General features: G+C 46.6%; 1 annotated feature.

Annotated features, from left to right (window-relative positions):
• Positions 7,148 to 7,804: an enhancer, noted in NCBI's record as "H3K4me1 hESC enhancer chr2:16367293-16367949 (GRCh37/hg19 assembly coordinates)". NCBI's record gives its function as "activates a minimal SCP1, AML or CMV promoter by ChIP-STARR-seq in naive H9 embryonic stem cells {active_cell/tissue: H9 hESC(naive)}" and the evidence as "EXISTENCE:reporter gene assay evidence [ECO:0000049][PMID:30033119]".

The following is a 16,397-nucleotide window of genomic DNA, read 5'->3' on the forward strand; positions in this document are numbered from 1 at the left end:
AGACTTGACCTCGTGGGCTCAACTGATCCTCCCACCTCAGCCTCCCCAGTAGTTTGGACTAGAAACGGGTTTTCATCATGTTGCGCAGGCTGATCTCAAGCTCTTGGGCTCAAGCGATATGCATGCTTCCACCTCCCAAAGTACTGGGATTACAAGGTCTCCAGCTTTTTACTATTTATTTATTTATTTATTTATTTATTTTGACAGAGTCTTGCTCTGTTGCCCAGGCTGGAGTGCAGTGGCATGATGTCAGCTCACTGCAACCTCTGCCTCCCAGGTTCAAGTGATTCTCCTGCCTCAGCCTCCCGAGTAGCTGGGATTACAAGCATGTACCACCACGCCCAGCTAATTTTTGTATTTTTAGTAGAGACAGGGTTTCACCATGTTGGCCAGGCTGGTCTTGAAATGCTGACTTCAAGTGACCCGCCCTTCTCAGGCCCCCAAAGTGCTGGGATTACAGGCATGAGCCACCTCGCCCGGCCTCCTGCTTTTTTAAAGGGCTTTTTGGACTTCAAATTGTACGTGAGGAATTGTCGGCTTGTATTTTGGAGAGCCAGGCACATTTCTTAAAATAATTTAGGAGAACCAATCAACAACCACATACCTTCTTTTTTCTAGATGGTAATCAGACAAAACTTCTTCTAGATAGCTGAATGACTTATAAGACATCCTTTTTTTGTCAGGTACTATTTGTCAGCAGTTGGACATTTTAGGTGGCCCTGTGTTTCTACCCTGCACAAAGCTCTCTGTAAGGGGTCTTTGGGGAAGACCAAGAAGCATGTGGCCTGCTCCTTGTCCTCACTCATGACCTGCTTGGTGAGAGCAGATAGTGACAAGCAAGGTTGTTTTATGGCACGTGGGTGGGTAGCTGGGGCTATGAGAAAACTTCAGATGGGTGAAGGCTGATCAGGGAAGGTTCCTGGAGGAGGGCAGAGAGGCTCTCTGAGCATTCCAGGTGGGGAGAAACCCCTGGAGAAAAAGTCTGGAAGCAGGAGGACCCAGGCAGGCACCTGCAGGGAGGCTGAGGCTGTGGAGTGGAGAAGCTCCAGTGCTGCCAGCCTGGCTCAGGAGCCTGTTTGTCTGTTTTCAATGTTTATGGGATAGAACAGCTTCTTTACAGTGATCTCTTTTTAATGGAGTTATTATAGAGCAAAAGACGTGTTTACCGGAAAGTTTAATTAAAATGTACTTCCTTGGGAATTATGTCCCAGGAGCAAATGAGTTTAAGCAGGTCACTTGGCACACACCCGTCCGGAGGTGCTGATCTCATTCCGGACTCCAGGGAGAGGTGTGGGAGGGGGTCTGAGCAAGGCAGGAGAGGAAGTGAGGTGGGGGCAGGGGAGGCAGCGAAGGGCAAGTGTGTTTGCTGTTCCTGTAGGAGCTTGTCTCGGGCAGACTTTCCAGGCTGTGGGGAAGCAATTGCTCCTCCTGCCTGGGAGCCAGCCTTCTGCAAGGGGCTTGAGACACAGTAGACAGCTGCTTCTGTGATCTCCAAGTGAATTTTCCAGACAAATGATTCCTGCCTGCCTGATGATAAGTCAGGCTCTTCCACCTTGTTACCTAGGGTACCTTCTTCAGCCCTGCAGGGGCCTTTGAAATTTGAAAATTGCTACTAAAGCTGTCAAAGAGTTCACTCTGGTGGAGGATGAGATGAGAAAGACAAGACAGCCCCAGCAAATGAATCCATCAGCAGGGCCTTGCTGGGTGTGAAGAGGTCCTTGGTCCTAACCAAGGTACAAGGAGATATAAGGCACAGCTTTTGCCCTTGATTCTCTCTCTTGTTGGAAAAGCAAGAAGGTCTAGAAACATTTATTAAGTCCTCAACATGGTCTGGCCCTCTTCAGCATGATAGTGGTCTAAACCCCAAAATAACTGCCAAACGATTGGTTTAGCATCCGTGGTGCCATTTTGGAGAATTCTGAACAAGGCACGATGGGTGCAAAGTGATGGGGTTGGCGAGTGGTGGGTCTGAGCCTGGATCTCGGGTTCTTTGATGTGAGTTTGCACCATGATCTCCCAGCAGGATTTCCAAATGGGAACTGAGGCACAGGAAACATGTTTCCTTACTTGGATGTTTTTAGGCTTTACATACTCTGTTTTTCCTGCAGAAAGTCCTCCCCTGCCTTCTCTTTCTAAGGACTCGTGGACAAAGGCCCGCCTTCCAGAAGAATTCTGCAAAGACTTCCAGACAGTGTAGGAGACCTGCTCACACCACATCCCAGCTGCACACACTCCTGTTCATTTTCCTTTATTTGTTGTCACTGCCACTAATCTGATCTTTCCAAGAGCACTGCAGGCATGCTGCCCAGTGCCTGGCATAGAGAGGTGCTCAGGAACTTGCCAGTTGAGGTGGCCTTCCGGGCACTCTGTTGCTGTGGATCACTGTCTATTGGTGATCAGTGGCAGGCCTTGGACTCCAGCCTGTCTGAGGTTGTTCCCAGGTGTCAGCGTCTGCAGGACCCTGATTCTCGCACGTAGCTGCCATGGCCGGGAAGCCAGGCGTGGTCTGGCTGAAGACACTCGGTCTGTGTTCTGAATGTCGGCATTCCTGATGACGGAGGACGCTTCAGGCTTCTCTCTCATGTTGTGGTCTGAGAGAAGGGAGAAGGGAGAGTACTCTTGGGGTCTGGGGTAGGGTAGAACTCAGGCCAAGGAGAATCTCAGGCAGGGCTAGCAGAGATGGGAGCTCTTTTGTGGAGGGCTGGGACCGAAGGGAACAATGCTGGGGGCAGTTGGGCAGCAAGAGAAGCACCATCCAGATGGGGCCCAGGACAGCCACAGGGCAGGTTGACAATTCTGACCAGGAGTGGGTAGAGTCCCAGCGCTCCACCCCCTTGTCCCAGTCAGAGTCCTCCCTGGCCTCTGAGAGCTTCCTGTCTAGTTCTCCCATACCAGGATCACGCCTGCTGCAGATGTGGTTGCCAGAGGCCTCTTCTGAAATTGCAGAACGTGCCATTCTCCTGCTGAAATCCCCTGACAGCGCCGTGGTCTGCGGATGTGGTGGGGTCTCAAGGTGGAATAACAACAAATCCTGCCGGGGAAGGCGCTTTTGAGTAGGCCACGTGCAGGCTGAGTCCTGAAGGTCCTCTGAGTCCTGAAGGTGGATGTTTATGTCAGCAGCAAGTGACACACTGGGGAGGCAGAGTGGGAAGCAAGGCTCTCCCTGGCAGAGAAATGGGGCAAAAGCATAAAGCCAGCAGCCAAGCCTGGTGAAGGAGCGCCAAGAATGCGGGAGCCGAAATCCGAGGGTGGGGAGGTGGGAGATGTGGTTAGGACTCAGGAGGCAGAGGTACCAGGAGTGGACCCCAAAGGGTCTCGTGTGATCACTGAAGTTCACATCAGTGAGGAGCCCTGAAAGATGTTTTTTGTGTTTTGTTTTGTTTTTTCCTGTTATAATATTGCATGTAAAATACAATTGGAGGCGGGGGGAGGAAAATGAGGCTCTAGCTGTATTTGGCTTTCTAGCCCTGTTTTTTCCATTCACCAAGACCTTGTGAGCATTTCACACAATCTGAAAATCCTTCATGCACATTTCTGTGACTGTGTAATTGTCTCTAAAACAGATGTGTCAAAGAGTGTTTACTGTTTTTCTAGTTTTTGATATTTAAGTTGTTTTCCCTTTTTTTTTTTTTTTTTGAGATGGAGTCTCACTCTGTCATCCAGGCTGGAGTTCAGTGGTGTGATCTCGGCCCACTTCATCCTCTGCCTCCTGGGTTCAAGTGATTCTCCTGCCTCAGCCTCCTGAGTAGTTGGGACTATAGGCATGCCCAGCTAATTTTTGTATTAGATGGGATTTTGCCATGTTGGTTAGGCTGGTCTCAAACTCCTGACCTCAAGTGATCTGCCTGCCTCAGCCTCCCGAAGTGCTGGGGTTGCAGGAGTGAGCCACTGTACCTAACCTGTTTTCACATTTTAGCAGTAAAAATAATGTGGTAATAAATACCCTATACATATATCTTTAATTTGCATCTCTATTTTCCTAGAATGGATTTTTAGAAGGAAAATTCCTGGATAAAGAGACATGGACACTTTTAAAGCTGTTAATACCTGTTGTTGAATTGCTTTCTCAAAATGTTCCACACATTTCATGTTCTCTACTTGGCAGGACACTATAATGCCTGTCTCATTGTATCCTCATGATCAATGAGACTGATGATTTTATAAAGAAGTAGATATTTTGAGAGGGGAAAAAAAGTATTTAGTTAAAATTAGACTTTCCTTGATTTTTGAAGTGAAAACATTTTCAGATATTTATTTACCTTATTATGTATTTCTTCTGCAAATGGTTCTCTTCCTTTGCCCAAATTTTATTGGATAATTTTTCTTATTTATTTAGAAAAAGGCTTTGTATAATATGTTCAACATGCTAACCCTTTATAGTTGTTGACTTTTTTTTTCAGTTTCCTATTTGCTTTTTAATTTTATGGATGTTATAATGTAAATATCTAGATGGTAGCTCAATAGACCTTAACAACCTCAAGTTGGTGGAGCCAAGGATGTAGGGAGGGAAAAGGAAGCCCAAGATGACTTGCAGGTTTCTGTGTTGGACACTGGGGAGATGGTGGGAGCCTCAGATGATTCAGGAGGCTCAGAAGGAAGGCATGCTGTACTGCATTGAACATGCCTGCAAAAATTCTCAGCTGAGATGTTTGAGAAAGAGTTAGGGATAACATCTGAACCTCAGTCATTATATGCAGCCAAGAGTGTTTATTGAAAGAATGAATGGATATTTTGATTTAAATCTCACCAAAGGCCAATGCAGTGGCTTGCGCCCATAATCCCGGCACTTTGGGAGGCTGAGGCAGGAGGATTGCTTGAGCCCAGGAGTTCGAGACCAGCCTGGGCAACATGGGGACACCATGTCTCTATAAAAAATAAAGTTAAAAATTAGCGCTGGGAGCAGTGGCTCACGCCTGTAGTCCCAGCACTTTGGGAGGCTGAGGTGGGCAGATCACCTGAAGTCAGGAGTTCAAGACCAGCCTGGCCAATGTAGTGAAACCCTGTCTCTACTAAAAATATAAAAATTAGCTGGGTGAGGTGGTGGGCACCTATAATCCCAGCTTCTTGGGAGGCTGAGGCAGGAGAATTGCTTGAACCTGGGAGGTGGATGTTGCAGTGAGCCGAAATCACGCTATTGTACTCCTGGGCAACAGGAGCAAAATTCTGTCTAAAAAAAAAAAAAAAAAAAAAAAAAAAAAAATTAGCTGGGCGTGGTGGTGCATGCCTGTAGTCCCAGCTACTGGGGAGGCTGAGGTGGGAGGATCACCTGAACCCAGGAGTTTGAGGCTGCAGTGAATCATGATCCCGCCACTGCACTGTAGCCTGGGTGGTGACAGAATGAGATCTTGTCTCAAAATAAATAAATAAATAAATAAATAAACCTTGATGGAGAGTTCTGGGAGGAGACATAAGCTGTGAGTTTGTGTCAGAATCAGAACTAGAGCCCAAGTCTCCCTCCTCCTGTTTCCATGCTTGTTCCTTAGAATCAGATGCAGTGTGGAAGGAGAAGAATCAAGCCAGTGAGATAACTTATTTTTTCAACTTCATTTTCCTTTTCTTTTTTTTTTTTTAAATAAAAATCTGATCTCCACACTCCTCTCCAACCTGTAATTGGCTTCTTCTTCCCCATAGGGAGATGGGCCATGTTTTGGATACCTCAAGCCAGATTAACTTTGGAGACGGGCAGAGGAATGTATTAAATGTTTATCATAACACATCTGCTCTCCATCTGCATTCAGTAATTTAGTCTTTTCTACAACAAGTGGTGTTAATATGGCGTAATTGACTTTTCCATTACACTAGATTAATTAATAGGAATCAATATGTTAGAAACATTAACAAGGTACAGCACATTTAAAACCTTCAACAATTAGTACTCATTCCCTTGCATTTCTATCACTAAGGGGGAAAAGCCACCACCAGCAGCACCACCAATAACAACAACGTGCCTGAAAACTCTGTTTTTCATGAAGAAAGGTCAGAGCGTTTTGGTTTGTTTTTTGCTTCTGCTTTGTAACCTGGCAAAATCAGATAAAACCATATAGTATTTTATTTTATAGCATGCCTATAATTTGGTGTCACTGGCATGAAAATGCTCCTCCCCTGGAAAATTCCTAAAATAAGGGTCTTTTCCTTGGGGCTGGATCACTTTGAAAGGTATTTGTCATGGAGGATCTACAGGACGGTGTAGGGGGGCCAGGAATGTGTCCCCGCAGGTTGCCAGACTCTTTGTCAATCTGCTGTCCTGCCGCCTTCCATTGTGGCCTCCCATTGCCCTGGGGAACAGGGAAGGAACTTTCCCTTGCAGATCAGCTGCCCTTACGGAGCATCCGGTCAAGAGGTGCCTCTCTCTGCATCCTGCTCCATCTGCAGAATGGTTGCAGCCAGACGCAGGTCTCCATGAGGAGGGGATCAGAACCTGGCATAGCTGCCTGCTCATCATAGTCTGAAAAAAATCCACAATTGAGTCTCAGCCACGCTCCCTCATCACTCCTGTTGAACATCATGGCAGTGATGGAGGGGGTGAAACTGAGTCCCAGAGAGGAAAGAGACCAGTGTGAGATCTCCTGACAATTAGAGACAGATCCTTGGGGAGAACCCAGATCTCCTTCAGCTCAAAAACTATCACTTGAAAATAAATGTTGAGAGGGTCCACTCACAGCAATCTCCATGTAATACTAATTTTTGGTTCAAGGATCACTTCCAGAAAGCACGGTGTGATCCCGGCCTTACAAATAGTATTACTAAAAATGTCTTGGGGGGTGCAATGTGTATGATTGAATTTCCGATGTGTTTATTTTGCTCTGTTTGATTTTTCTTAGTTATTTCAAACTGGGAAATTACAGTTCAGGACTCAAAGGCACAAAGTGGTGAAGAAGGAAGGGTCTGAAGGAATATCCCTGTGCCCGTGGCCCATGTATCTGGGCCTAGGCAGGCTGGGCTGGGGCTGTGGGATGAGGCCTGGCCAGCTGGCTGCTTTGGGGACCGCCAGCCCCTCTCGGGCCTCCTCAGCGTTGCCTGGAGACCGTGCAACAATGCTTCCCGAGCAGCCCAGCGATGATCTTTTCTGAAGTGGCAGCCCCTTCAATTATTTTATTTCCATTATATTACGTTAATTAAATCAGCAAAAAGAACAGAGCACATGCATGTCCAAAGTGGAGTGGCTGTGAAGGGTTAATCGAAATGGCCCTGGCTGCTGCTGGGTGAGCAGGAGCCGCCAGCCAAGGACAGACCATATTCCATCGGGCCCAGCCAGGGTGAACATCAGGAAGCATGGTGGGCCTCGCCTGGGCCTGCATGTTGGTCTCTGTTTCTACAGTGCTCCTGGACCCCTGGCTGCCTCTGGTGGGTGCAGATGCAGCTGGAGCACCTGGCTGGGGGCTGTAGGGAAGGGACCCTGTGGCCCTATGAAAGACAGCTTAGCACCGCAGCCAGACTCCGTAGAAGCACATCCGCCAACGTGACGTGGCACAGTTGACTGCCAGGAACGAAAGATGTTGTGGATAAATCATCTGAATGCTCTCAGGCAATGCTTTTTTAAAACACCAGGGCGCTTTGCTGTAAAATCTTATACTGACTTTCCCAAATAAAAACCAAATAAGAACAGGGCTGCTTCCATAGGAGACAAAAGTGGGGTAACGGCAACCTCTCTCGTGCTCCACCTTTGATGAGGAGCACAGCTTGGAAAGTAATGCTTTAGCTTGAGCCCAGGAGTTCAAGACCAGTCTGGGCAACATAGTGAGACCCCCACCTCTACAAAAAAAAAAATTAGCCGGGCATGGCGGCACTCGCCTGTAGTCCCAGCTACTCGGGAGGCTGAGGTGGGAGGATTGCTTGAGCCCAGGAGGTAGAGGCTGTAGTGAGCCATGATCATGCCACTGTATTCCAGCCTGGGCCACTGAGTGAGACCCTGTCTCAAAACAAACAAACAAACAAACACAAAAACTAGTGCTTTAGAGCACCCTTAGGTGTAGCAAAACCAGGGGTTTTATCTGGGCTGCTGGTTTTGGGCTTCTGACAACATAGCTCTCCTATTCTAATGTTCCAACACCTGCAAACATGGGCTTTAGGACTGGGGATTTCTGTGGTTGAAAACAAAAGTTGCCCTCCTGCCTCAATTTACTTGCCTGTATAATGAACATAAAACAATATATGGCTTCCTGGGCTCATAAACTTTAAGAAGTGATGCATAAAGGCTGCTTCCCTGTCTGTCATAAACTCTTTGGGGAAGGTGATCAGCCTACTTCTTGAGGGTGTCTTTGTGTTTTTGTAAACACAGTGCTCAGAATATCATCCTTCCACCTCTTCTCTTACAGATGGGCAGTAAGGTTGCTGTTTGAGGCTATTACTTCACTCTTGGGCTTCTACCGAGACCTGTCTAGGAGCCCGAGGATCTGCACCATCTGATTCTGGTCTTGTTTCTAACTTACTATGAGACAGGAGACCGCCCCTCCGGTCTCTGGCCTGTGATTTCTTCCTCACTCAGTGAAGGAGTTACTGTCAATGATCTCCTAGGTTCCTCCGCAGCTGTGGCATCCTCTCATTTGAATACCATCAATAAAAATAGCAATGCAATGCCTTATGTTTAAAAGGCAACCGAGCAATTACTCTAAAGTTTATTTCCTGCTCCCTCCAATGTTGCAAATCTCCTCAGTTTTAAAATTAAGTTGTAAATGAGATTTGAGTTCCACATCACTTGCTTTGTTCTCTCTCCAAGAGAAAGAGTTGAATCACCAGTTCAAAGCAAACTTACACATAACTGAAATTCAAAGGCGGTTGGAGGGATTTTCTTTCTCCTAATCTTGGTTACTGGGTTCGCCATGTGATTAACCTTCCACAGCCACCACTGTGAAGAAGTGAGTCCCTGATCCAACACTGGCAGTCACCGCCCCAGGGTTTAAAGGACAAAGTCCAGCATCAGCTCCATCACCTTCAATGTCCTAGAAATAATAGAAAACAGTTTAAAAAGTGCTCACTGTGGGCCAGGTATTTTACATATATGACATTTTTAAAGACTTCTCTGGACTATTCTTTGAGGTAGATATTTTTACACCCACTTTACTGATCATGAAACTGAGGCACAGATAGTTTAAGTAACTTGCTCAAGATCTTACAATTTCACCAGATCTTGTAAATCTGGTGGGTGATGGACCAGGGGTCCAGCCCAAGCTGTCTGCTTCCTCAGTGCTTTGCTCTTGATCCCTGAACTTGACTCACATATAACCCCTGTGGAAAAGAAAGGGCTGAGAGATCTTCTGGTCGTACTTCCCTTGTGATGCTCGAATCTCCTGCAAGGCCTCCTGCATGGACATACTCCCAGAGATGAGGAATCCCTTCCCTTTGAAGACAATCAGTCATTCATTCAGTTGACAAACAGGCACAGGCCCCATGTGAGGTCCAGACCCTGTGCTCAGTACTGGGCCATAAGGATGAATGCATCACAGTTCCTCCTGCTGGGGACCTGTGGCCTTGAACAGCTCTGTCTGCCAGAAAACTCGGCCTTTACTGAACTGGAAAAGATGTCCCTGTAACTAAAGGGTCTGTGTGATTACTGCTTAAACCAGGACACTGCTGAGAGTGAACAGGGACTCATAATAATTATGTTTCGGGGACAGGCAGAAACGGGGCCTGTACCCTGCAAACAGGGACACAAGGAAGCAACCTACACACCACATCCTGAGTGCTTGTCTGGCTTTGGGTCCACACATCAGCCCTTCTGACATCTGAAGACCATTGTCTTGCTGGCTCAGAGCCCTCCTCTTCTCCAGCCCTCTCCCAGTTCCTTAAATGATTCTTCATCTCCTTAGTTTGGATCCCTGCCCCCAACATTCTCTCTCTCCTTGGGATCATGTATGAAATTCTCTGTGTGGCTTCCTGGTCCTTCCCGGATCTGGCCTGATTCAGTTGGGAGAGAAGGAATCTTCCCCTTCTTGGGGAAAGAAGAGGGCTGACATTGTGACAGTCTGGGATTCTGACAGAATGTGGAGGGTGGAGGTGAGAACAATGTCACAGTGCTCTGTGTTTAGCAGCAGGGCAGTGCTCAGAAATTCAAGATGAAATGATTTGGGAGAGAGGTCAGAGAAATATGTTTCACTAGTATTCCTCAGGCTTTGAAAACTTTGGAAAAAAGCATTTATTTTTAGGTGAGATTTTTCCTTTAACGCATCAGCCTTGAGACCATAAATCTTTATTTATTCACTTAGACAACAAACATTGATTGACTAGCAGTTACTTGCAGGCTACACACATAATATAGTCTCTGCTTTCAAAGAACTCAGCATTTAGGTGGTGACAGGGTGGTGAACAGAGTGGCTGAGTGCTCTGATAACAGGTGCCACGAGAGAGGGAGCATCTACTTATCTCTTCAGGGGGTGTCAGGCTTCACAGAATAGATATTTGCTGAACTGTTTCTCAGAGGATGAGCAGAAATTTTCCTGGCAGGGAAGGGGCATGAGAACACCCCAGGCAGAAGGAGCAGCATGTACAGGAGATGAGGGACATGTGTGTTCAGGTGGCTCCTGGTGACTGGTGGCGGGTGGAAGTTACAGGAGATGCAGGATGGAGAGGCGGGACTTTGATGCCACTCAAAGCACTTGGCTCTGTACTGGGAGAGACCTGGACCTTCATGAACCACTTTGCAACACAGAACATTGGTGGGTGGATTCTGATGTCCATGCAATTAATTCAAGTGAGCTCCAGCATGAAGCACCCAGGAGAAAATGCTTTTAATTGAGAGACATGTTTTTCAAATGTTGCTCAGCTGCCAGCTCCTGTGTGCTCTGGCAGGAATGGCAAGTGATACTTAGCTTTCTTCAAGCTCCATTAATCTGCCCATTTCTTTTGCTTCAAATCCCACTTCAAACACACAGCGGCTCCTCACACTCATAATGAAATAAATGATTTATAATCCTGTTGGGAGCCAGCAAGCCTCCTGTCTGGTGGTTCAGGTGGTTAGGGCAGGCTGGGTTGATCCAGGTGACCTTTCAGAGTGCATCAGAGGGCAGACAGTGGCTCTCCTCACCTTCCCAAACACAGTCTTACACAGGCATGCACACACATGCACACATACATACATACTTGGCTGCATGGACCTTGCCCTGTCTTTACTCCTTTCTCGTGACCATGTGGGTTCCCCTGGGAAAGCCCAGTGACTTGGTCAAAGGACAGTGTTCCAGTGGCTTCTGTGGAGTAAGCCACTGAGTGCTGAGTGCCACTTTATATGCCCAGTACCTAAGTTCATAATATTATGTGACATAAAAAGATGCCAGGCCGGGGGCGGTGGCTCACGCCTGTAATCCCAGCACTTTGGGAGGCCGAGGAGGGCGGATCATGAGGTCAGGAGTTCGAGACCAGTCTGGCCAACGTAGTGAAACCCCATCTCTACTAAAAATACAAAAAATTAGCTGGGTGTGGTGGTGGACACCTATAATCCCAGCTACTTGGGAGGCTGAGGCAGGAGAATCACGTGAACCTGGGAGGTGGAGGTTGCAGTGAGCCGAGATCGTGCCATTGCACTCCAGCCTGGGCAACAGTGAGAGACTCTGTCTCAAAAAAAACAAAAACAAAACAAAAAAAACCAGGTGTCTTCTCCCTTTTCAGTGAGGGGAAAACCTGAGCTACAGAAAGGTTAAGTGACAGGCACCAGTTTGCATTAAACTAGTAGTTGGTAGAATGAGGATGTGAACCTCTGACAGTTCCAATGCCAGTTCAAGGACCTGGCCTCTTTCACTCTACCCCAGGTTCTATCAGGCAGGCACCACTGGCTCACCTCCTGTTGTCCAGAACTGAGATTGGGATGAAGCATCTGAATCTATGCCATTGCTTATAGAAAAGGTTTTGAAGTTGGGATCAGAGGTAGAGTTCATTGATTCACTTGTTCACCAGCCTCTTCTGAGTGCCTGCTGGAGACAGGTCAGAAAAATATGTTTCACTGGCATTTCTCAGGCTTGGAAAGCTTTGGAAAAACATATTTGATTTTAGGTGAGATTTTTCTTTTAACCTTGGATGACTTTGCATCCTGGGCTGGGGATGAGGAATAGAAATAATGCAGCTCCCACTCTCAGCACGTTAGTCTCCAGAAAGAGAAGTGCGGGATCTATCCGCAGGCTACAGTGTGATCAAGGGGAACCTCAAGCAAGGGAGAGGGGCTCTGAGACCTGAGGAAGTCAGGCCCCGGGTCTGAAGGACTCCCCAGAGTAATGACTTTGCAGCAGAGTCCTGATGGCTGGAGTTCCCCAGCTAAGCAAGGCCGGGAAGGGTGTTCCAGGCAGAGGGAACGGCGGTGTGAGGGCAGAGTGCTCAGAAGGAACGAGAAAGCTGGGGAGGGTGGCCAGATAGTTTATTGTTCAAATTGGAGTTTTTTTCTACCAAATTTTTAGATTGACAAATGTTATACCACATAGGAGTTGAAAAAATAGTACCATGAGTACTTGTATGCTTTTTGGTTTTTTTTAGACAGTCTCGCTCTGTCTCTCAGGCTGGAGTGCAGTGGTGTGATCTCTGCTCACTGCAACCTCCACCTCCCAGGTTCAAGCAATTCTCCTGCCTTAGCCTCCCAAGTAGCTGGGACTACAGGCGCATGCCACCACACCTGGCTAATTTTTGTATTTTTAGTAAAGACAGGGTTTCACTATGTTGGCCAGGCTGGTCTTGAACTCCTGACCTCAGGTGATTTGCCCACCTTGGCCTCCCGAAATGCTGGGATTACAGGTGTGAGCCACTGCACCTGGCCACTTGTATACTCTTTATCTAGATCCAGCAATTATTAACATCTTCCTGTATTTGTTTTACTTTTCCTCTATATGCGTTGTGTGTGTGTGTGTGTCGGCGGGGGGTGCTTTCTGTATGTATACATTTTTTTCTGAACTATTTGAAGGTAGGTTGCAGGCTTGACACTTTACCCCTAAAATGTATCATTTATCTGTAAAATGACAATAGCTTTATTTCAGTGTCATAAAAATAAGGAAGAGGATACAGTATGTACAAAAAGTCTGACATGATACCTTGAATATAGCAGCCACGCAATCAAAGTTAACACTGAGCATCTAGCGAGGGCTAGCTATGGACCAGCACTTCCCGCAGAAAATCTCATAACCACTTGCTGGAGAGGTATTGCCACTCCCATTTCACAGGAGGAGAGAACTGAGGCTCAGGGCGGAGGATGACTTGCCCATGGTCTCACAGCTATTAAGTAATGAAGCTACAGTTCCAGCCCAAGTTTGTTTTACTCCATAGCCTGTGTTCATTCTTTTTTCTTTCTTTCTTTCTTTTTGTTTTTGAGTTGGAGTTTCGCTCTGTCACCCAGGCTGGAGTGCAGTGGTGTGATCTCTGTGCACTGCAACCTCTGCTTCCTGGGTTCAAGTGATTCTCCTGCCTCAGCCTCCCAAGTAGTTGGGAATACAGACACCTACCACCACGCCTGGCTAATTTTTGTATTTTTAGTAGAGACAGCGTTTCACTATGTTGGCCAGGCTGGTCTTGAACTCCTCGAAATCCTGACCTCAGTGATCCACCCTCCTTTGCTTCCCAAAATGCTGGGATTACAGACATGAGCCACCACGCCTGGCCCATTCTTTTTTTTTTTTTCTTTTTGAGACAGGGTTTCACTCTGTCACCCAGGCTGGAGGGCAGTGGCGTGATCTCTGCATACTGCAACCTCCGCCTCCCAGGTTCAAGCCATTCTCCCACCTCCACCTCCCAAGTAGCTGGGACTACAGGTGCATGACACCATGCCTGGCTAATTTTTGTATTCTTTTGTAGAGGCGGGGTTTCACCATGTTGGCTAGGCTGGTCTCGAACTCCTGACCTCAAGAGATCCACTTGCCTCGGCCTCCCGAAGTGCTGAGATTACAGGCATGAGCCACCATGCCTGGCAAAAGCCTGTGTTCATTCTACTGCCTCTGGGTAGATATGAATTCTCTCACCTTGAGCTTGGGATTCAGTTTCTATGCAGGGGGAAATGGACCCAAACTCACTTTGGCTTGACTCGAGGTTTCTTCCTCAATCTTATGTTGATTATTACACTGTAGCTAGAGAGACTTATTATACACGGAACAGAAAAATGAAGAACAATTTGCTTTAGAAATTCCTCTAAAATCCTTTATATGTCAATGAAAACTGCTCATAAACACATATCACATTCTTATGAAAATATTTGAGCAGTCAGAAAGATAGTGCAAAAGGATACTGTACTGAGAATTAGGGCACCAGCTCTAATTGGCTGTTTCAACTTGAACTATTCCTTTCCCTCTCTCAGCCTCAATTTCCTATTCTGTAGAATGGGGATGAAAAATCCTAACTTGTCTACCTGCAGAGTGTTGAAGGAATTAAAAGACGTGATGAAGGCAAAAGCAATTAGTAAACTCTGCAATGCAGCACATAAGGGAGGGGTTGTTGATAGACCTCCTGGATTGCGAAGGGAAGCAGAGAACCTCCCTCTAGCTGGTATGCAGCTGCAATCTCAATCTGGAACAATGTTATCAACTTTTGAGATGTTTCCTTATTTCCTTCAGGGAAGTGGGGGGAAAATAATTTTTGGCTTAGACCTTAGACAGTACTTAGTGATCGTGACCTCCTAAATATGCCTCCTTGAGTGTAAGCATCCCCAACTCATAAGTTCCAATGGGGCAGACACTTCGCCTTGTTCACTGCTGCAGCCCTAGCACCTAAAACAATGTTAAGCCTGTAGTATATGCTCAATAAATATTTATGGAATAGGCCACTCACGGTGGCTCACGCCTGTAATCCCATAACTTTGGGAGGCTGAGGCAGGTGGATCACCTGAGGTCAGGAGTTTGAGATCAGCCTGACCAATATGGTGAAACCCCGTCTCTACTAAAAATACAAAAATTAGCCTGCCGTGGTGGTGGGTGCCTGTAATCCCAGCTACTTGGGAGGCTGACACAGAAGAATCACTTGAACCCAGGAGGTGGAGATTGCAGTGAGCTGAGATTGTGCCACTGCATTCCAGCCTGGGCAACAAAAACGAAACTCCATCTCAAAAAAAAAATTATGGAATAAATTGATCAAATGATTAGCCATAACTCACACTGAGAGACACATGAGAGAGGGCAGGGAGACTTTTCATATCTGTATCCACAGTGCTGAGCATCACATGACACAAAGCCTTGGAATGATTGGAGGATTTGCTTAGTCATTATTATATCCCAACCTTGACGTGAACCTAAAGGTTCAAACTATGATTACATTTCATTTTAGTACCAGTGGTATTTTCTTTAAGCAATGCAAATTAAAGCTGTATCAGTCAGCTTTTGTTAGACTATCGTTAGTAACAAATACCATCAAAATGTCAGTGGACTATAAAAAAAAATGCAGGGTGCAGGGGCTCATGCCTGAAATCTGAGAGCTTTGAGAGGCTGAGGAGGGAGATCTCTTGAAGCCAGGAGTTCAAGACCAGCCTAGGGAACATAAGGAGACCCCTGCCTCTACAAACAATAAGAGAAAACACTAGCTGGGCATGATGCTACATGCCTGTAGTCCCAGCTATTCTTTGGGAGGTTAAGGCAAGAGGATCACTTAAGCCCAGGAGTTTGAGGTTGCAGTGAGCTCTGACCTTGCCACTGCAATGTAGCCTGGGTAACAGTGTGAGACCCTGTCTGTAAAATAAATAAATAAATACAAAATGAAAACAATTTTTTTATTATTGTTTTTTAGGTCATCAAGTCAGCTGAGGCTCTGATCCAGTACTTTCTCATTCTGAGGCTGAAAGTATAGCCCCTGATCTTGATTTTGTGGCAGAGGGGAAAACAAAGAAATGGCCAAACCAGGCAGTGAATCTCGCAACCTCTGTTAGATGTGATAGCATCACTTCTGCTCATGTTCCACTGGCAAAGCAGGTCATGTGACCAAGCCTGATGTGGGTGTGGGTGGGGTGGATATTACTCACGAAGGGGCTCTGCAAGGCATGTGGTAGGGGGTGGGGCTGCTCAGTTCTCCTCTAGGCAGAGAGCGCGCAATCAACCACCCTGGCCTTCAAAACACTTTGACTTCTTTGAAGGCCAAAGTTTTGGCCTCTCATGAGATCCCAGAATCCCAGAATGTCTGGCTAGAGGAGGCTTTGAGATGAAGCCACCGTGATTACAAATCAGGAAGCTGAAATACAGGGAATAGAAAGGACCTCATCGTGGATTTTACAGATGCTATTGGAACATTGAAAATGTTCCCCCAATTTTATGACGTTGACATAAGAACTACAGGCTGGCCATGGGAATGGTGGGGGCCTGGAATCCCAGCTACTCTGGAGGCTGAGGTGAAAGAATCACTTGAGCCCAGGAATTAGAGGCTTCAGGGAGCCATGATTACGCCACTGCACTCCAGTCTGGGTGACAGAGCAAGATCCCAACTCTAAAAAAAAAAATAAACCAACTACCAAAGTCAAT

The sequence above is a fragment of the Homo sapiens genome, chromosome 2, assembly GCF_000001405.40.
Source record: "Homo sapiens chromosome 2, GRCh38.p14 Primary Assembly".
NCBI classification, from domain to species: Eukaryota; Metazoa; Chordata; class Mammalia; order Primates; family Hominidae; genus Homo; species Homo sapiens.